At 35.7% G+C, this 23,194-nt stretch overlaps 1 long non-coding RNA gene across 2 annotated transcripts in view; it reads left to right on the forward strand.

Moving 5' to 3' along the window:
• The window catches only part of POT1-AS1 (POT1 antisense RNA 1), a 215,362-nt gene that overhangs the window by 128,090 nt on the left and 64,078 nt on the right, over positions 1–23,194 (forward strand). The window contains exon 4 of one of the 2 annotated variants that reach the window (NR_125719.1): positions 22,750–22,851. The exons of the other annotated variant lie outside the window; for it this stretch is intronic. This is a non-coding gene — a long non-coding RNA (POT1 antisense RNA 1). The remainder of the gene's footprint in view (positions 1–22,749; positions 22,852–23,194) is intronic. 2 annotated transcript variants of the gene reach the window in all.

The following is a 23,194-nucleotide window of genomic DNA, read 5'->3' on the forward strand; positions in this document are numbered from 1 at the left end:
GCCAATCATGTTAACCCACACCCTGGGAGAGAGGAGTTGAATATAACACGGGTTTGACCAGTCACAGTGTTTTTCTCAACTGCAGTTCTCTTAGTGAAGTAATATGGGTGTGAGCCCTAAGCCACTCAGTACCATGTCCTGCTACCACAATATAGAGAAGGTGATATTAGATAATGAAGATGTCACGTGGACAGAAACAGGGTCGAAGACCAGCTGCTCTCAAGTCCTTGTTTACAGTTCTCCTTAAGGTCAGCTCTACTTGTGCCCTACCTGGTTGTGTAAGCCAATAATTTGCCTTTTCTTTTTCTTAAATACACTCAACAAGGTTTCAGTTTCTTAAAGCTAAAATATTTTGACAGACATATTCACTCAAATGATACTTTTCATCTACCCTCTTTTATTATTTATCTATAATCTTAATTCCTTGATTACATTATGTATAGTTATGCCTTGTGTAAACCCACAGAACTTAGGCTTTTAATAAATATTTACTAATTTCTCTAATTTTTCCATATGCTTTGAAATTAAGAAATTACACAATTTGTAACTTTTGGAAATTTAATGTTCTAATCCATCCATCCATTCATTTTCCATGAGATCATAATGTGTGTATTACTCTGTTCATTTTCTTTAATTCTTTATTTTACTGAACAATATCTTGTGAGCATCGTGTCAACTAATAACAACATTTTATCACATAAATACTGCAACTTATATAATCCTCTATTTTAAATTATCTAGATTGTTTCCAAAGATTCCCTATGCAAAACACAACCAAATAAAACAAACTCAAATTTTTAGGTTTTCTTATTAGCACATTTCTTATATGCTTTGTTATTTTCTGAGGATATATACATTTTGGATATATACATTTTTTAAAAAGTCTTTTTCTGAGGGGATATTTTGCTAAGTAACTCTTCAGAAATATTGTTCAAATTTATACTTCTAAAAGGATTAATTAACCAATCTTTAATTTTTTCTGAAAAACCGAAACTGTTGTTTTTGTTGTTTATAGTTAATTGCATAAGTGTTTTTTGGATTTTTAAATTAAACTTGTTCTTTGTTTAATTTTTATTCCTTCACGTATAAAATTGTGTTTATCTCATTTATGTGTCATTCTATTGTAGCTATCTTTTTCATTTATTTAATTTTTTTTTTTTTTTGAGACGGAGTCTCTGTCGCCCAGGCTGGAGTTCAGTGGCGCGATCTTGGCTCACTGCAAGCTCCGCCTCCCGGGTTCACGCCATTCTCCTGCCTCAGCCTCCCAAGTAGCTGGGACTACAGACGCCCGCTGCCACGCCCGGCTAATTTTTGTATTATTTAGTACAGACGGGGTTTCACCATGTTGTCCAGGCTGGTCTCAAACTCCTGACTTCGTGATCCGCCCGCCTTGGCCTCCCAAAGTGCTAGGATTACAGGCGTGAGCCGCTGCGCCCGGCGCTATCTTTTTCTAATTGATTTATTAGAACTACTGACATTAAGGAGGTTAGCATTTGTCATTGACGATGATTATAATGATATTTTGGAGTTATTAGCCCTTTTACTTTTTCTTTCATATATACTGAAAACTTTTGTTAAATTTTGTTTGCATTTAACTTTTAATGAGATGTATTTAGAAAATTCATCCATTTTGATCATCATTTTTCTATTACTGTTAATGTTGGCCAGTTCCTATATTTTGGGTCTTATTCATAGAATTTCTACTTGAAATACAGTGGAAGAAATAGTTCTACTTTTTAAAATGATTAACCAAATATATTTTGTTTTTTATAAATGCATGTAATATATATATTTACATTTAAAGTTCTAGATTATCTATAAAGACATATATTATACAAAGCTTTGTCTTACAATTTTGTTTAATTGAATATATGCCATGCGGTAGCAATTTGACAGTGTTTAAACTTCCCGGAAAAGGTTAGAAGTCAAGGTTAATGAGTAGCAAATTAATGTAATATTAAAATGTTAAGAAAGCCCTGTAGAAAGCCATTCTATACATTTGTTATGAACGATCAATTTTTCATTAAATTCTTTAAGTGATTTCAATACGTTTTTGGTACAAAACCAACTGCTTTTCTTAATATTTGCCAGAAGATGGTGCTATATTAATAAAGTATAATCTTTTCAGTGTTCTAGGAAATACAGATAAATATTGTTGAAGTATTAAAATAAAAGCAGCTCCTAAGGCTTGACAAATAACTGTCTAATGATATGCTCATTTTATATGCCTATATCTTAAAAAGAAAAGTTTGTTATGCATTTGGAGGTGAAAGGAATAAAAAGTATCATTTTTTGCTCATATTTTTATTGTTTTTTTCTTTTCAAGTCATAAGACAATTTGGGTATAAAAAAAGCTGCTCATTAGTGGTTTTTAAAACTAGAGCTACCTAACAAATTTGAAATAATTTTAAAGTCATATGCTCACACAAAACATACACATACACACCAATAACTTCTGTGCTGGGTCTGAAAAAAATGGAACAAAAGAAAACAAAACCAAAACTTAAAATTGTGATGATTCCATGTAACTAGCCACAAAATAGCTTGTATATTTATTTTTTTTAATATTTAAAAATAGTCAGTTAACATTCATCCCAGAGGCATGTTTACATTGCATTTTATTTACAGCAAGACACAGTCTTTCATCAGAAGTCCTGCAAGCATCCCTTCAACCACTGATTTAATGTCATTAAATATAGATGTCTTTTAAAAGGCAGTTAATTTAGTATAAGGGGAAATGCCTCAATGCATGCTAATAATGGGACTTTGTTCAGCATAAAAAATGAAACTTAATAAACACCTTTCCTTCTACATTGCCCTGGCTCCAGAATTTTCTAATGAGTAGCAACAGGAGCTCAGCAACCACTAAGGCCTGTTAACCTGACTGTAATTGTGTCTAATAAGTAGACAGACCAGAATATTCATCAAAAGTTCAATTGAGGTATTCAGTATTACCTTACCAATTCTTACTAATGACTGGGAAACAAATTATGTGTTTTGAACTTGTTCATGAAGCAATGGTTTAGATTCTGTGGGGAAGAAAGAACCATGGACATAGTATAAAACTTTACTAATGAGCAGAAATAGCATTGGTACATATGTTACTTTGTTTTATTTTTGATGTGATCCTTTCAGTGCCTTCCAAATCTATACAAATACATAGTTGAGCAACAGTTCACTCTTTTTTTTTCTTTTACTTTAAGTTCTGAGATACATGTGCAGAATGTGCAGGTTTGTTACATAGGTATACATGTGCCACAGTGGTTTGCTGCACCCGTCAACCCGTCATCTAGGTTTTAAGCCCCGCATACATTAGGTATTTGTCCTAATGCTCTCCCTCCCCTTGCCCTCCACCTCCCTGGCAGGCCCTGGTGTGTGATGTTCCCCTCCTTTTGTCCATATGTTCTCATTGTGCAGCTCCCACTTATGAGTGAGAACATGTGGTGTTTGGTTTTCTGTTCCTGTGTTAGTTTGCTGATAACGATGGTTTCCAGCTTCATCCATGTCCCTGCAAAGGACACGAACTCATACTTTTTTATGGCTGCACAGTCTTTTCTTTATAGTACATAGCTGGATCGTTACTCATTATGTTTATTGAGTTCCTTCTATGGGCAGAATATCTGTAAAGTATTCAGAACTAAAGGAGGCTTTTAAAAGTAAATAGAAAGCAATGCTTTTGAGAAATAGCCACTTAATTAGTGAGATTGAATCAACATATTCAGGCAAGCAGTAGCAAAAAAAAAAAAACCCCACATTTTATAGAACTAAGTAATATAATGTAAAATAATTGTGGGATGGATTAGTGCCTGTTTGATTTCTGATCAATGCTTTTGTTAGAATGTTTTTTTAAGAAAAGCCTAAATATGCTGTTTAAGACTGATAAAAATCTTACCATGTAGATACTATTATCCTTACTTTTTGATAAATGAAGAAACTAAATCCTGCAGAGGTTGACTAATCTACCCACTCACACAGCTAATAGGCCATGGGACAGGATTTGGATTTAGATCCATTCTGTCTCCAGAGCCTGAGCACTCTCCACTATGCCAAACAGAACTCCAAAACCCTTTCAAGACACACCTGGCTCCAAGCTTGAGCTCACACTCATTTTGTTTGTCTCCTAAAGTGAAATTTTAGGTTGCCTGTCTTGACTCTCTTCAGATAAAAATCCCTCAGAAAATTTTTTAGAGTCAGAGTTGAGATTGATTTCTGTGATTCATTTGTCACTGTGAAAAGAGATTAGGGCTGAAAGAAAGTGACTCATATGATGGCTCATGTTCACTGCAGCATGACTGGCAGCTTCTAGAACAGAAAAACAGACTTCTCCTTTTCTTTGGGGAGTAAGCAGCACGGGGAAATTTTATTCAGTAAAGCTGATGACAATTTTCCTTTAAATTGGACACGAATTCTCCTAGGAACACTGCATAGTAATATTCCTATGCCCATAAAATTTCAAGATAATCTTTTCGAAAAAGAAGTACATTCGTTTTTTTGACAACTGTTTACATTATTTTTTATCTCATCGAATAATTTCTACAAAATTATATTACACTAGGCTTTTAGAAAAGAGAATTTGCTCTCTAAAGACTCTGAAAACAGAACAATGAAATATCCCTTCCCTTAATTCGACCCATTCCTTCTAGTATTACTAATTAAATAAGTTAGTTCTCAATTGTCCTCAGATTGTATATGTGATTTGAAATTTCTTTAGAATTTACTAGTTTGTTAATTATTTCTAAATGGATATATTATTATTAGAAAGTGTCTTATTTATTTTATCTAGACTAGTTTTGATTCCTAGTTTCTAACAGATGAAGCCAAAACCAGTTTGGGGTAATAATTCATGATTACTCTAGAAACTATATCTAAGTCATTGACCAAACTATCTGTTAATCAAGTTATAGTTAAGAAATGCAGAGGCTTTTCAAGTTATGAATAAATCTGTATTGAAAGACAGTAACTCTGAGGAGTTGAAACAAAACTTTGGAGTCAGATAAAACTGAGCACAAATCACAGTGATAAGTTAGATGTTACTTAAATTCCCTCAGCTTTGTTTTCTTCTGATCAGTTTCTCTAAAGATTTTTTTAAAAAATTAAATGGGATTACATATGTGTGTGGGGGGGTATTGTATCTACATTATTTAGCTTACTATTTGGTACTTAGTAAGTGCTCAAATGGTAACTTGTTGTTTTATTTTTTTTTCTTTTGATGTTTTTCAAGTCTTCATCCTCAGTCCTTTCATTAAAGATGTGCTCAGTTTCTTATATTACGTAGAGAATGGCCAATTATCTATTGTCAGGATAATGCTGTCTAACAAACAACTAAAACATTCAGTGACATACAGCAATAGATGTTTTTGCTTACCAGTCCTTGATTTGGTGACCTAGTCTTGGCAGAACGCATTTCTATTGCTGGGAACAGGATTCTTTAGGACTATTTCATTTGGGTCATCTTGTCTCTGATTCGCATGTTCTCTCAACCTTCAGCTAATCCATCCTGGACTGGTTCTCTTCCAAGAAAGAGTATGAGGAAGTGGGCAAGGTTATTGAGGCTGAGGTTTGGATGGCCAAATTCTCTACCTCATGAAGGAAGAAGCTGAAAAGTCACAGGACGAAAGATGTGGACAGAGAAAAAGGTAGAGAATTGGGGCTATTTTTACAATTAAACTTCCATAAATATAAGAAGATGAGGTGGGACTTCTTGAAGAAGATGTTTTATTAGGGTTCTTCAGAGAGACAGAACTAATAATATATATTGTGACCTTATATATTGTTTATATCTTATATATTATTGGTTCTGTCTCTCTGGAGAACCCTGTTTAATAGAACATTTCTTTGAAGAAGTCCCTTTTTCTTAGCCACCTCATTTTACAGATAGACAGGTAGAGATAGAGATGTAGGAGAGGGGATTTATTAGGGGAATTTACTTAGGTGATTATGGAGGCTGAGAAGTCCCATAATAAATAAACTGGAGATCTAGGGAAGATGGTGGCTTGGGCAAGTCCAAGTTCAGAAGCCTCAAAATCAGGAAAGCAAAAGGTGTAGCTCTCAGGCTGAAGCTGAAGGCCTGAGAACCTGGGAGACCATTGGTGCCAGTTCCAGAGTTCAACGGATGGAGAACCTGGAGTTCTGAGGTCCAAAGGCAGGAAAAAAAGAGTGTCCCAGCTCCAGGAGAGAGAACGAGAGAGAGAGAGAGAGAGAGAGAGAGAGAGAGAGAGGAGAGAGAGAGAGAGAGAGAGGAGAGAGAGAGAGAGAGAAGAGAGAGAGAGAAGAGACAGAGAGAGAGGAGACAGAGAGAAGAGAGAGAATTTGCTTTTTCTTTGCCCTTTTTGTTCTATTCCAGCCCTCAGCCAAGTGGAATGGATGGTGCTTGCTCATGTTGGGTGAGGGTGGATCTTCCTTACTCAGTCCACTGATTTAAAAATGAATCTCTTCCGGAAACATCTTCAGAGACATTCCGAGAAATAATGATTTTACAGCTATCTCAGTATGTCTTTATCTAGTCAATCTGACACCTGAAATTAACCATTAAAGATGCAAATCAGTTTTTTGAAATTTTTTACATCTGTTACTTTAGAGTTCTCAAGACTTTTAGCTCCAGAATTATTAGAGGGAATTGCTTTTTATATAAATAATAATAATAATGGCTAATCATTATTGACTATATAATGTGTGTTAGATATGTTGGTGTTTCACATGCCTTTTCTTATTTAAATTTCACAGTGGCTTTTCAGAGTAGATATTGTTATTGCCTCTATTTTAGAGGATAGTGAGTCTTAGAGAAATAAATTGTGTATTCATGGTCAGATGGCTAATAAGCAGCAGAATCAAGATTTGAAGCCACGATAGTTAGACTATAGAAATCGCTCTGCAAAGGAGCTTGCGGTGAGCCGAGATCGCCCCACTGCCCTCCAGCCTGGGCAACAGAGCGAGACTCCATCTCAAAAAAAAAAAGAAAGAAAAAAAAAAGAAAAGAAAAAGAAATTGCTCTGCAAATACCCTTCTTTATTAATTTTATTTATTGGCTCTTGCATCTGTCAGCCGAAAGAAAGAAAGAAGCAAACACTGCCTAGTTAGGTAATTTTTACTTTGTATTAAATACAAATAAATTAGTTCATGTCAGAAGCAATAATTTTGAGACATAATTATTTTATGTCTAATTACCACACAAGGTAAGCTGGAAAATACCTTGGAGGGCTCTTTCCTACCTTCTGCCTTCAGTGCCTGTATTCTAATTGGTAGCCCTGCTCCCATGACAGAATGAACCAATTAGCTAAATTTCCATCCAGCTTCTTGCTAAAATGTCAGAAGTAAAACAGGATTCATTTAAAGGCACACAATAATAAATGTTGTCTATTTAAAATAAGGCACCATAGCCTATATTTTAATTTAGAAGACTGAAATGATTATTATCCTTGAAATTTTAACAGGTTCTCAGTATTTTCCTCATTTTATTTAATGTTGTGATGTGTAATATCACCTGAGTCATGGAGGCATTTTTGGAGAGTTTCTGAGCACATGAAATCACCTTCACACAGAATAAATATAATTGGCTTGGATGCGTATGCACAATATATAAATGGACAGGGTAACTGTTAATCTAAATACCCTTCAAATCATCCTTGGTTTCTCTTTTTGTTTGATTTCCATTGCCTCTCCCCCTCCTGGTGCCATTTTCTTAGTATTTGGTTGTAAATGTATACATACATTCTCTTTAATTTTTCCTCTTTTTTTTTTTCCCATTGTCCCTGCCCCTGTCTTGGTTCTGATTTTCATGATCTTTCCTTTATGGTGATGCAATAATGTTCTATAAGATTTTCTTGTCTTTAGTGGCTCTTGTCTTTTCTTGTCTTTACTGCCTCACCAACGGTGACACTAATTAAAATGTCAAGAAAAATATCCCCAATTTTCCTATTTTAACATGGCTTTAAGTACTCTTATTACTGGTTACCCTCATTTTTCTAGAATTGTCCCTCAGATTATTAGGTATCTTGTAGAGGTATGTCTGATGGAAAAATCCCTTTTCCAGTACAATCAACTTTCGGTGACAATAGGACAGGACGAGGGAAGTAGAGCTAGGAAAGGAAAGAATGACTTGACATATAATTCTAATTAGGTATACAAGGTAATGATTGTCACTTGCCATACCATAATGGAGGGAACAGGCAAATATAAGTAGTCAATGTTAAGAACAGATGGATGTGTGTATTATCTGTAATTTTCAAAGAGAATTCTTGATTATCCATTTGAGGTTTTGTGAAGCTCAACTTTAGTACTGTCTTTTATACTGTTGGTGATTTTAGTACAAAATGTCAAAATTTGGTTTGGTGATATTTATTTATTTATTTACTTATTCATTCATTTATTTATTTATTTTTATTTTTTTGAGACAGAGTCTTGCTCTGTCACCCAGACTGGAGTGCAGTGGCGTGATCTTGGCTCACTGCAACCTCCGCCTCCCGGGTTCAAGCAATTCTCCTGCCTCAGCATCCTGAGTTGCTGGGACTACAGGTGCCCACCACCATGCCCGGCTAATTTTTATATTTTTAGTGGAGACAGGGTTTCACCATGCTGGCCAGACTGGTCTCGAACTCCTGACCTCATGATCTGCCTGCCTCGGCCTCCCAAAATGCTGGGATTACAGGAGTCAGCCACCGTGCCTGGCAAGGTGGTATATATTTAAAGCTTAAAAATATCCATGAACTTTGACCCCAAACTCTACTTCTAATGATTTATCCTATGAAAATAATTGAAGATGTTTACAAATATGTACAAATAAGACATTTATCACAGAATTATGAACTAAATAAATTTTTGAGAAATTTAATTTAATTAAGATTTTGGGAAATAGCTTAAATATACAACAGTATGGAATTGGTTAAGTGAATGTTGGTACACCTAATGCAGTGGACAAGCATTAAAATTTATATTATAGGATATTTAACTTTAGAGGGGGAAATAATCATAAAGCTTTGTTATGAACATAAAAGAGCAGATTAAACAACTGTATTTTTGTGAGAATTTAAATATATATGTATATACATGAAGAATCCTGAAAGTCTATATACAAAAATGTTCTTAGTGATTATCATTGTGAGCGAGATTATCCAAAATATTAATTTTCTTCTTGGTGTTTTTCTATATTTGAAAATATTCTTCAAGGTTTACATTTGCAACCAAAAGAAAACCTATATGTTTTGTGTTTTAAATTATTGATTGTTTTATGTTGTCTTCCTAATGAATACCATTTTTTTCTTTGCTTGTGCTTATCTATTGATTTTGATGAAGAATTGTTTTCTTTTAAAACGTACCTATGTGTTGCTACTAATTATTTGAATGACAGTACTACCATTTAATTATTAACACAATACATTTAAGTAGTAATATTAGCATATGGCATTTAAGTAATATCATTAAGATGGAAATTATTCCCAGAAAACACAAAGATGTCAGGGATAGAGAATAGCTGCAGAAGTCATAATAATGCTGCAGAGGGCTTCTTAGCTAGCCTCCCAAGTCTCCCATCAATATCTGAAAAATCAATTTTCTTACTCTCAGATTTCTTCTCAGTCTTAACACTAAGACTGGCTTGAAACTGGATGAGTTCAGAGGTTTTGGAGGATTACCTTATCAGAGTAAGTTTATCCAGTTGGTAATATGTGAATGTTTACAAAAGTGTATTCATAAACTTAAAATCATAAAACTGAACAGAAAAGTTTGATATTTATGAATTTATAGACAAGTTATTAATTAACTCTGTTTATTCAGTTAGAATATTCACATGGGGAAAGTTTCCAGGATAATTCTAGTCGTTCTCAGTGCCACTCCAAACAAAGGAACAACAGCAAGGTAATTTTATCAGGTTATGATTGTGAGACAGGAAAATTCCCTTGACCCCCTCACGGGACTTGTGACTGGGGTGGCTTGCTTACTTGGCAGCCTCACTCAAACCCCTTGCAGGAGGGGGAGCACACAAGTGAGTGGGTGCAGGAGCTGGGACAAGTGCCTTTGGGTGCTGGCAGGAAAAAACCCTGTAGCAACCCGTGGCAGTGTATTGGGGTAGTCCATGACCTCTGGAGTCCCAGAGGGTGTGTGTTACAAACAATGCTGTTTTAGCTTTGCTGTCTGCTGATTGCTTAAGTTTAAACTGCTCAGTGACTAGTCAATGTGATAGCCTTTTTGGGTTCTTGCACCCAGTGCATCCCAAATTCTTGTCCAGCATCTAGGAAGAATCAGGTCACACGAATGCATTGAAGGGTGGCATAAGTGTAGGATTGTATTGAGTGATGGAAATGGTTCTTAGTGGGGTGGGGAGCTGGAAAGGGGATGGAGAGGGAAGATAACCTGCCCCTGGAGTTTGGCCATCCCTAGTCTCCAATGTCCAGCTGTCTCTTCTCCTCTTGCCATTCAGACACTTCCCTTCTCTTCTCTTCTTCTCTGCTGTGCTGCTCTGTTCCTCTGCCAGTGGAGTTTGGGGTGTTTATGAGTACACGTTGAGGGGTGTTGTGAACCAGGATGGTTTTGGAAAAGGCAACATTTAGGCAGGAAAACAGGAGTGCATGTTCTCATTTATGGCCACGGGTCCAGGCTTGACAGTGGAGCCCTTGCCAGGGACCCCACCCTGTTCAGCCTAGTATTTCCCTGCCTCCTTTCTGTATCAATTGTAGTTACATCTAAAGATGTATTAAGCTTGAAACAAGGTTAGTGGCTTATAAGAGGAATCTGGAACTAAGATTGTGAGAATTGCAGGCAGCAAGAAAAAGCATGGCTGCCAAGGATGCTGTTCAGCTTTACTAACTTTTCAGGAGACAGTTAAGAAAATAGCAAGATAACTATTAGATATGCAAAGCCACTGAAGCCACAACTTCTGATAAATCCTTGATATTAAAGTATTTTTGAATAGATTTGAGAGGCAAGTCTATATTTCTTTAGAAATTTGGTTTAAATTACTCATTCGAACAATTATTTTTTAGAAATAGGAGAGTCAAATTAACATAACTGAATTCTTAACTAGGTTAAACCAAGGTGTAATTGTACATTACTATCAACACGTAAGTAAAAATCCTAATTTGTTACATAAGGAAGCTTTATTAATTCTGGTAACATCTCACCATCCATGATTAACTTACCATATTAAAGTGATCAGACATACAATTATGCTAAACACATAAAATTCTGGGTAAGTTTTCTTGTTTTTATTATTCTCAGCTATTAAAATGCAAAAGAAAATAAAATATTTTAAATTTTATTATCTCAAAGCATATAGTCTAATGTTTTTGTAACATTTTTGAACACTTATAATTGAAACTCATATTAAATAGGGAAATAACCACGGGCATTTAAATAAATTTTCACAGTAAAAAGTTTAAAATACAAATGTCTTTATACTGTACTATAAATGACCGTAGTTCTCTAGATATATGACCCATTAATGGTATTGTACCATGATATTCAAGTATTCAAGTAAGTGTTTATGTGTACAGTATTAGAAAACTAATCAAAATAATACAATGTTTATTCTTACGCAGGCACAAGGTAAGATCCAGCAACCCTTCCAAAACTTCTTAAGACCAAACTATTCCATTATTCATTGAAGAGGAAAATTGTGAACTTCCAGTTTGGACTCCATATGGGTGAATAGAGGCTATTAAATGGAATTAAAACTTTCATCAAACTGTAATCAAATGATATAAATTGCTAAAAATTATATAATGAAGGTCAGAAGTCCCATTACACTCATTTTCCTTTTAAAGCTATAATATTAGTCTTTCATATTCAATATCCTGCTAACAAGAAGAAAAAATTCATGAGACTAGTATGCATCTAGTATACTTGGGCTTAAACAAGTTTCTATGGCAAGCAACACTCTCCGTTATTTCAGCATTTTCTCTACCACAACCAGATGGGCAGCTTTGCCCTCCACTGTCCCTGCTGCCCTCCTTGAGCTCTCAGCTAGCTCATGCCACTTTTTAATATCCTCCCATGGGCACCGACACATTCTATCACCCATCGTTCAATTAAAATGTAATCTAATGAGCTACCTTTATCTATAAGACTCTTTATCTATAAGACTCAGTTGCCTATTGTAGATTATATTTCACATTTTTACAGGGAATAAATGGACAATTATTATACCATTTATATAATCATTAATGATTCTATTTTTCAAAGTCCAAATAGTGTCAGACCAAGAGGAAAGATCTTTTCATATATTCATTCATTTAATAGATACACACACACACATGAATTTAGGAATTAAGCACCTCTTGTATATCGGGCCTAGTGCTACTATTGAGAATGCATCGAGGAACAAAGCCACACTATTCCTGCCCTTTGGTAGCTCACTTTCTGGAGTGATGGAGGCATTAATCAAATAATATAAGAATAAACATGTAATTTATAACTGGGTTAAGTGCAATAACAAAGAACTTAGTTGTGCTATGACAGGATATAATTGGAAATTTGACCTAATTAGGGGCATGATGACTGAACTAAGAGAAGAATATGTAGATGTTCACTAGGCAAAGGAGGGGGATGGGGGAATGAAAATACTCTAGGTAGAGGCATCAGAAAGGGCAAAATCCCTTTGAGGAGTGCATGTGTACAAATCACTTCTGCTTCAAGCTCTCTGAGAGCTGGAGCCAGAGGTTATGGTGGCATTCTTTCCCTTTACATCCCACCATTTTCCCACACATGGCACCAACTCACCAGCTTGGTCAATGAATCTATGCCATAAGACTGAGGGGCAAGATGAAAAAAGCAATGCAAAACAAAACAAACAACAAACAGAATAAGCCAAGTTATTCGAGAAGTAACTATGATAAATAAAATGTGCAATTTCGTCGCTTCTTTAGGTAAAGATCTTTAACAATTTAAGCACTTATAATGTGATGCTGATTATTTCTAATGATTTGGCAATAAATCAATTAGATGGTGTACTCTAAAAGATTTTTAAATTTCTGAAGCAAAGATCTATTTAACCTATATGGAATTTAGATATTATTGATAATATGATGATTAGCATAAATATTTTTGGATACTTAATATTGCTTTGACATTTTCACACATCAATTTCTCTGCATAAACAAGTTTTTATATAGATAACATAAAAAATAAAGAAAAAAGGCTAGAAAAGTCTTATGGCCACAGTAGTTAATTTTCTGACAAACTAGTTTTCTTTATCTGTCAAATGCTTTTTTTCTTTTTTGGAGTATTATGCTCCAAATAAATGGTAGAACTTGATAGTGATTATTTCCTCATGCCAGACCTGGAATGCTCTCTATCACAGTTACAGGTGAGACAGTCCAGAGTCCAAGTCAGAAAGCAATGCATTTTAATCTTGAAAAGCAGGTAGTTTCTGGAAAAAGATAATCAGTAGTAATTCTTTAGGCAAGATAAGAAAGATAAGGAAAAGAAAGAAAAAAAAAACGCAAATGCTTTTCCACTGTGGAAATACTCTAGTGGACAGGCAGATGTTTCCATCTGGGATGTGTGTGTGTGTGTGTGTGTGTGTGTGTGTGTGTGTGTGTATCTATCTATCTATCTATCACTATATTTTCTGGTAGTGATACTATATGTAGTATCAATAACCTGCCATGTTATTTCTCACTATAATTATATATATTCCTTCTCCCCAGGAAATAACATGGCAGGTTATTGATACTACATACAACATCACTACCAGATACTATATACTACATACAACATAACTTTTATCTTCTGGGTCTGAAGATAAAAGTGATAACCATAATTATTTTTACCCTAATTAATGTTTTATGTCTTACCAAAAGGTAAAATCACTTTATAGATAATAGCATGAAGTTCAAGGCTGCCTCAGTTCTAATCCTAGGACATTGATAAAATTATGTAATTATTTTAAATATTTTAAATCTTTATCTATAAAATGGAGGTATTACCTCTTAGGGGAGTTGAAAGAATAAAATGATATAGGCTACATATACATACATATACATAAATATATTTTTACATATATGAAGTATTATATTATCATATATAGTATAAATACTTTATAAAATATATACAGGTATGTATACACAAATTTATGTTTCTGTACTTATCAAGTGCAATATAATGATGCATAGAAAAAAGACAAAATCTGACATCATAATCAGATTAATGATAAGAATATTTTTGATTTCCCATAACATAAGCCTTACGTAACCTAAAACATGGTGACACAAATTATCATCTACTACACCAAAAAGATTCCTCACTATTTCTTGTACCATTACTGTTTTTGGCTTGGAAACAGGTCCCTCATAGCCTTCCTCTCTGGGCTGCTCATGTGTTCATGCTTTCTTGGCCCTGCTATTTATTTCCTAATAGATGGCTGTCTCCCTGAACCTAGCAGTCTTTCACAGGGACTCCCACAAGCTTGTATCCCAATATTGGATCCAAACTCTACCATTCTTCCCTGGATTTTAACTGAAACCAGGCAGTCATTCCTAAGGAATCAGTGATAAAGGTTGGGATGTAATTGAAAGGAAGAACAATGTATAGAATGTTTTCCTCAGATTCCCTTGTAAGTTCTGCTCCCTCTTCTAGCTAGGGTTAGGAGGTTTTCTCTTTATCACATAGAAAATGTTGGTTACCTCCTTGCCCAAGAATCCTGGCCAAATCAAACTCCTGCTCCTGAATAGAAAAAGACTTTCTACTTAGTCCTGCCTAAAGCATGCTTCTCGAGTACATCAATCTGATTTTTTCCAAGGTATTTGACTCTGGGAATATCTATTCCCTTCAGGGGAAACCTCATACTGGACTCTGGGTATATGGTCTGGTCATGTGGTTCTAACATGACAGTCACATAAAATCTGGTCAGCCAGTCTTAAAAACACCATGTGTATTAATCATAACCAGGCCAGGTATGGATTGCCAAGCTCAGTTCAGTTCATTTTCATTGTCTTCTCATTAAAGGTTAACCATGTTTTAGGATTATAGCAAATTATTTTGGCATACACCCCACAATGGGTCATAAATTTAGATATGTTTAGGGGTTTGACAAATAATGTAAATGCAGAAGTTGTGTAGGACAATGGTTCTCAAAATGTAGTCCTGGGACCAGCAGCATCAACATCAATCACCTGGGAACTTATAAAAATGCACATTCTCAGGCCCCACTGAATACCCAGCAGATCAAACACTTGGGGAGGGGCCCAGTAATATGTTTTAACAATCCCCACTGGTGATTCTGACTCATGCTTAAGTTTGAGAACCCCTGGTATCAAATAATGGGGAGTAGTGGGTGACAGTAAACTAGAAAGTGCTAATGCATTAGAATCTAAGGTCAACAAACTGAGTTGCCCCAAACAAAATAAAAACACCACATCTGAGAGGAGAATTTATCCCATGGAACATGAGTTTATGCATGCAGATTAACAGGATTTGATACCTTTAATTTCTAGAATGCCTCAGATTTTAGTTGGTTAAGTTTGAACTGTCTAGAAAACACCTTCCCTGTGGTTATCCATCTTGCTGTGTTCAATTATTGCTCTCTAAATAGCACAGTCTTAACCATTCAGATCATTTGGAGTCAATGGGACATTCTCATAAAATAAGAATAGTAGACCATATTTGCACATTCCATGGAATAGAATGACCTGTCTCAATCAATTTTCTTATTGAATTGAAAATCTATAAAACTCATAAAAAGTCTTGCTGAACATGTAGTCCAACATGTTTGCTTTATAGATAAAGAAAATGAGGTTGGGAGAGGCTGGGCAACATGCTGAAGATCAAACGGTGAATTGATATAAAGGAGTTAATGTAGTGGTTATCAGAAGAAATCAAATGCATATATACTACACATTGGAAGAGCTGTATTCTCTTTGAAATTAATATTCAAATTTATAAATTATGAGTATATAGCATATATGAAACAAAAATTCTCAATATAAATGCATATGTGAAATTATAATCAAGGCCAGGGTGAAAATTATTCAATCTTTACCTTATGAAAAAGTGGTATGTATGAGGAATTCTTTAAGTATTCCTATTATAATTAATACATTTGAATATGTGCAGCATACAGCATGACAAAATAACTCAGTTTTATTTTCTCTGCCTTGATTCTTTTATCCATGGATCATAGGTTAGAATGCCATATATATTTGAAGCTCCTTTCACTAAATGACAGATTTATAAGAGAAGGGTTCTTGTTTGCCAGGTTCCTGTAGTATCCCACTTTTCAGAGTTCTTGGCACACTGTCAGTTTTCAATAAACAGTTGTTGAACAAATGAAAGCAAAGACAAGCTATTTATTTTTCTTGCCTACTCACATCCCTTTTTCTGAAATTATGCTCGTTTAGCCTTAGCTGAGTGAGTATATGGCAGAACCTGTATTTCAACCCTTTCCACGATGACTGATGGAATGCATACCTGAGAGAGCCAGGGATAAATATGGCCAATTACTTCCCTGTCTGGAAAATATGCAATTGGGACATGGAGGCTTCATGAGGCTGTGTTCAGCACTTGAACTGGGTGACTATTAGACTGGCTGTTTTCTGTGAATTTTTTATGGTCAAGTGACGATTAATCACTTATAATCTCTCAGGTGATAAGAATACTGCAGTCAATAAAACGTGCCTTTATGCTTGTATTTATAAGAATGTATAGATTATAAAAAATAATTTCATAAATCATGTTAAGAAGAAATTAGTGTTATGAAGAAAAATAAAGCAGGGTAAAATGATAGATATTTCAGTAGGGCAGTTGGGGACTGACTCTTGAGCTGGTAACATTTGATCAGAGACTTGAATGAAATGAGGAGCAAATCATATGGAGAGTTGGAAGGATAATGATCTAGGCAGAAAAACATCAAGCACAAACACTTGAAAGCACAAAGACTTGGTGGAGTGAAGTGAGTGAGACAGACTATAATAGGAGATGAGACTAGAGGCATATTTAGGAGTGGGATTGGAGTACCAAAATAAGGACTTCAGAAATTATTCTAAGAGCATGATTAAATATTTGAAGGTTTTAAAAAGAGGTGTGACTTATGTTGTGAAAAGGTGGTTCTGGTTGTTAAATAAATGGAAACAGAAACAAATTAAGGTGCTAATGCTGGTGAAGAATAAGATAATCGCTTAGATTTAGATGGTAGTGGTTGATATGGTTTGGCTCTGTGTCCCCACCCAAATCTCATGTCAAATTATAATCTCCAGTGTTGAAAAGGGGGCCTGGTGGGAGGAAATTGGATCATGGGGCAGACGTCCCCCTTGCTGTTTCATGATAGTGAGTGAGTTCTCGTGAGATCAAGTTGTTTAAAAGTGTGTGGCACCTCCCCCTTTGCTCTCTCTCTCTTGTGTTCTACCATATGAAGATGGTGCCTGCTTCAGCTTCTCCTTCTGCCAAGAGTTTAAGTTTCCTGGGGCCTTCCCAGAAGCAGAAGCCTGTACAGCTTGTAGAACATGGGGGAAGTCTGCCCCATGATCCAATTTCCTCCCACCAGGCCCTTTTTTCAACACTGGAGATTATAATTTGACAAGAGATTTGGGTGGGGACACAGAGCCAAACCATATCAACCACTATCGTCTAAATCTAAGCCATTATCTTATTCTTCACCATCGTTAGCACCTTAATTTGTTTCTGTTTCCATTTATAAGCCACAGGGGTGGAGTTGCCCAAGTCCTTTGGAGCCCACCCCTTTGCATCAGTGTGGCCTGGATGTGAGGCATGGAGTCAAAGGAGATTATTTCAGAGCCTTAAGACTTAATGACTGCCCTGCTGGGTTTCAGTCTTGCATGGAGTCTGTGGCCCCTTGGTTTTGGCCAATTTTTCTTTTTTGTAATGGGGGCATTTACTCAGTGACTGTACCCTTAATTGTATCTTAGAATTAATTAACTTTTTTTTAATTTTACAGATTCATAGGCAGAAGGGACTTGCCTTGTCTTAGATGAGACTTTGGACTTGGACTGTTGAGTTAATATTGGAATAAGTAAAGACTTTGGGGGATTGTTGGGAAGCCGTGATTGTGTTTTGAAGCGTGAAAAGGACATGAGATCTGAGAAGGGCCAGGCACAGATTAATATGGTTTTGGCTCTGTGCCCCCACACAAATCTCATGTCAAATTGTAATCCTCATTGTTGAAGGGGGGCCTGGTGGTAGGAGATTAGATCATGGGGTGGACCTCCCTTTTGCTTTCATTGTTATATTGAGTGAATTATCACTAGATCTGGTTGTTTAAAACTGTGTAGCACCTCCCTCTTTGCTCTCACTCTCTCTGTCCTTTTCTGACATGTGAAGACGGTCCCTGCTTTTCTTTTGCCTTCTGCCATGATTGTAAGTTTCCTGAGGCTGCCTAGATGCAGAAGTCTGTACAGTCCACAGAATTGTGAGACAATTAAACCTCTTTACTTCATAAATTACCCAGTTCCAGGTATGTCTTTATAGCAGTATGAGTATGGAATAATACAGTGGTGGATGTGCTAATGCCTAGATTCGAGATATATGTGAAAGTAGAGCTGAGAGGATTTACTGATAGTTTAGATGTGAAGTGTTAGCTAAAGAGATTTACTGGGTGAATCTGCTAAGTGAATATGATGTCATTTATGGTAATGAGAACACTTGGGGTAAAACAAGTTAGTAGGAGGTTGAAGTGGGCAACAGAATCAAGAGTTTGGTTTTGGGCGTGCTAAATTTAGGATGCCTATTAGACATGGAAATGAATATATTAAGTAGATACCAGGATATGTGTCTAGAGTTCAGCAGAGTGATTTATCAAGGCAGTTTTACTGGATTAGCAGAGACAAAAGGATGTTTGAGGTGAGTTCAAGAGTGAAGAAGAAGAAAGGAAGTAAAGACAATGGGTATATAGACAACTGGTACAAAGAGTTTTTTTGAAAGGAGATGGAGAGAGGTTACAAGCCATAAGGGGATTGTGGGTCTAAAGAATTTTTAAGATGGAATATTTTAAAACATTATAACTTGAATATATGTACAACTATGGGAATAATTTTGAAGAGTATAGGAAAATGATGACACGAGAGAGGGGATAATTGTTAGACTGATATCCTTGAGAGGATATCCTTGAGATGAAGGGGTTGACTATAGACAGGGAACAATTTATCCACACTAACAAGAATGGAGTCAGTATATATGCGGACAGACACAGGACAGTTGGAGGACAGTTGGTCAGTATGATGGTAGAGGAACATATGCTTTTCTAATTGCTTTTATTTTTTAGTGAAAGATGAGGTAAGTTTATCAGTTGACAGTAAGGTATGAGAAGGTGTTGGAGGTTTCTAGATAGATGAGGTATAACATTGTCTCCTCCAAGTATGTAAGAGCAAATTAACTAGGAAAATATCTTGTGCACAAGAGAAGACTGAAGGAAGAAGAAACCTAAAATCTAGAAAGAAGATCAAGTGTTACAAGAGAGACAGAGAGGGTAACCTTGGTTCTAGCCCCACAAAAGGCTCATTATACCATTTGCCATTGGCAATGTCTCTGTTGCATAAATCCATTTCCCCTCCCTGCATTTTTTTTCTGAAGCTGGTTTGAAAATCGCTTGCAATCATTATTGATTCTTGATGAAGACACTGCATAAAGATAGAAGATATTATCATCATGTACTAATCAAATTGTATTTGGTTCCTGGCAGTTCCTTTGAAGTCTTCAAAGCCTTTCCCTCTCAGTCAGTGAAAATCATCACCTCATAAAGGCAGGAAAAAAAAGTTATTTCCATCTTTAGAATTAAGTCCTGGAAGACACAGACTGAAGTTTATGTCATTAAAAGGTGATTTTGAAGAACATGAGATCAGTCAGTGTCAGTTTGTTTCTTAATCCCCTTTCCTCTCTATACTAGATAAAGATTCTACTGGCCCAGAAAGATGGAGAAAATTGGGTATGTGTAGTTCCAAACTTTTTATAAGCCATGGCATTCCTAAAAATTTAAAATATTTGCAAAGGCAGCAGGCGAAGAGCATTCAACAACAGGCCATAGCCAGCCACTCCAAAGAATGAGAGGATCAAAACCTTATTACACTTGCACATTGTATGCTTATATCAAAATATTATGTGTACCCCATAAATACATACAACTATTATGTATCTATAATAATTTAAAATTTTAAAAATTAAAAAATCTAATTACACCTGTAAGCCATTTCCAGCACAGGTGCACTGTGGTACAACTGTAGGGAAGTTCTGGTAGAAGAAAGGGGAGGGCACAGATACTGGTACCAGTCCACTGGGGAGTTCTGAAAAGACTGAGTTCTAATTCTTACATATAAACTTCTGGCCTGAAGATTGTGATTCTTTAAAAACAAAAAAGAGGGGGAGGTCAGGAAGGGGGAAGAGAGAAAAAGAGAGAAAGAAAAAACACTTTATGAACTTATGAAGAGATAAGAGAGTATGGTTTCTTGTTCTTACTTCCTCCTCTCCAGCTGCCTCTATTTCAGGATTAGACAAAAGAGGCTTTCCTTCCTTTCAGGAAGAACATCGATATGTACTATACGTTGCCAGTGAAAGGAGAGAAATGAGAGCTGTAGATAATGTGTGAAATCAACTAGCCCTCAGGTGTGGCATAATATCAGCTTTAGAAATTTGCTGAATAAGTTGAATGGCTGAAACTTTAATGACTAGTGTAACTTAAAAAGTCCTGATTGGGAATGTCCTGTATCTTTGATTTGCTTCTGTTGACATGGATTTGAGCCTCTTCTTGTTGAGTATGACTTTTTATTTTGGGGTGATTTAAATGAATTCATACAGCATTTGAAACCTCCCCAATTTATTAATTATCTTTACAATGGAAATTTTAGTTTCTTTCCTGAGATGGTTTCTCTGGGCTATGAAGTAATTCAGGTAAAAATTGTGAGTATTAAGAGAGATAAGTGCACATGCTGCTGCCAGTGCTGGAAATAAACGTCTTTCAAGGTCCATGATCAGTAAGAGAGAGAAGGGGGCTTTGGGGGAATGAGACTTCCCTAAATAACTTGCACTGGGTGGCCCAAAATAAATCACATCACATGACCGTGTGAAAGTCAAGTAAGAAAGAAAAATAATTGAGTCATTACAATATTGGTCCCAATTTGGAGATGATAACTGTCCTAAGAATTAAATCTACTTAGTACATAGATTCATCAGAGAAAAATCTTGATTGTAGATAAAAGACAACAAATTCAACAAGTAAATAGGAAGAAAAATTTATATGCCTATTAATTTGTATTGATTTCTTATAGTATGTGAATTAGAAACTTGACTAATTTTATATGTAGCAATTTTTTTTTTTTGAGATGGAGTCTTGCTCTGTCGCCCAGGCTAGAGTGCAGTGGCGCGATCTCGGCTCACTGCCAGCTCTGCCTCCCAGGTTCACGCCATTCTCCTGCCTCAGCCTCCCAAGTAGCTGGGACTACAGGCGCCCACCACCACGCCAGGCTAATGTTTTGTATTTTTTTTTTTTAGTAGAGACAGGGTTTCACCGTGTTAGCCAGGATGGTCTCGATCTCCTGACCTCATGATCTGCCTACCTCAGCCTCCCAAAGTGCTGGGATTACAGGCATGAGCCACCACACCCAGCCAAAATTTTTTTAAAAGTGATGGACCTTGGGAGGAATGTAATTGTGATTTCCAGGAGTGTGGGATACAAGACTGAGGTTCAGACATACATGCTGGTGTATAGTGAGGTGATACAGGAAGAAGAAACATGTGTATTTGGATCTTTATCATAAGCAGAAGCTGAAATACGTTTAGAGAAGAATATTCAAGATTCTTTAATCTTGCTGTTCAAAATGTATTCAATTTTTTTGAGAAACTTGAAGTTTTTGTCATATTTTCCCATTACCCATTAATGATTAAAATAAGAAATGAAATTTAGAAATGTTTTTATATGCAGTCTATCTAGATAAACTGCAGTAATTTAACTGTCTATTTTTCTAACCTGTCAATAATCTGTAATAGCATGTCTAGTGTTCTGTTAATTTGGTGTGAGGATGTAGACAGCCTTCTGTTCTTTTGTTTACAGAGTCTCTTAACTTTGTGGCTCCCCTGGCACTAATTTATTTTTTTGCTAAAAGGTAACAGAGTTACAAGTGCAAACATTTATTTAATTTGTTTAGATTTATAAAAACCATGCCCATGCTCTAGGCCTTTGGGGGCATGAACCAGATAAGAACATATGGTGTAATCTATTATTTTCTCAACTCTAGTTATGTGGAAAGGCATTGTTTAAATGTCAATGAGGAAATTTCAGATTGCCCGTCTTAGAACAGTGATTTCTTGGATAATGCTTAGGTAAATTTAATGAAGGTACATTTTATTGTCTTTAAATAATTCACCAAGACCACAATATTCAATCTTTTTAGAGTAGGAGGATTTGTTCAGAATTCCCTTCTACTCCAGGAAATTCAACTAACCTTTTAGTTATTGCTGTTGGGCACATCATTTTAAAAAAATCTTTGCAGTATACTCTGAGTAAATTTACAATATATTCAGATTGCTACCAGTCATGATTTTTTTCCAGCACCAATAGTCTTAATTCCTAAATGAAAAGTAATTTTTTAAAATGTGACAAGTCAGAGAATATATTTTTAAAGAGTACAGTTTTATCTACATTAAGTTTATATTTCCATGATTACTGTTGGCAGAATGGTTATAATTATTTTAGATAGTATAAAAGTGACTTCTGAACAGGGAAAGAAGGGATGAGTCATGACAAGCCAAAGTTTCAGAAAACAAAAAATTATTTATTTATTTACGTATTTATGTATTTATTTATTTATTTATTTTTACCAGAAGCCAAGCCCAGAAAATATGGGTTTAAGGTTTGCCTATATGTCCAATACAAGAGAAAAAAGAACATTCCACTTCTTTAGAAGGTTCTACTTTGATCTCCTGGTAAGTGGTTGAGAACAATTCTGAAATGTTGGTTGATTTTTTTTCAAGTCTTCCAAGTTGCTAATGTTGTTCATGTGTGTGAACACACACACATACACAGAGACAAACACACACACACTCTTCCAGGGTATTCTTCAGTGGCTGGGTGAGTGAATTGTTTTTTTCTCTCAATTTATATCTTAACTTTTTTTTTTTTTTTTTTTGAGACAGAGTTTTGCTCTTGTTGCCCAGGCTGGAGTGCAATGGTGCAATCTCCACTCACTGCAACCTCTCCGCCTCCCAAGTTCAAGCAATTCTCCTGCATCAGCCTCCCAGGTAGCTGGGATTACAAGCATGTGCCACC

The sequence above is a fragment of the Homo sapiens genome, chromosome 7 (assembly GCF_000001405.40).
Source record: "Homo sapiens chromosome 7, GRCh38.p14 Primary Assembly".
NCBI classification, from domain to species: domain Eukaryota; kingdom Metazoa; phylum Chordata; class Mammalia; order Primates; family Hominidae; genus Homo; species Homo sapiens.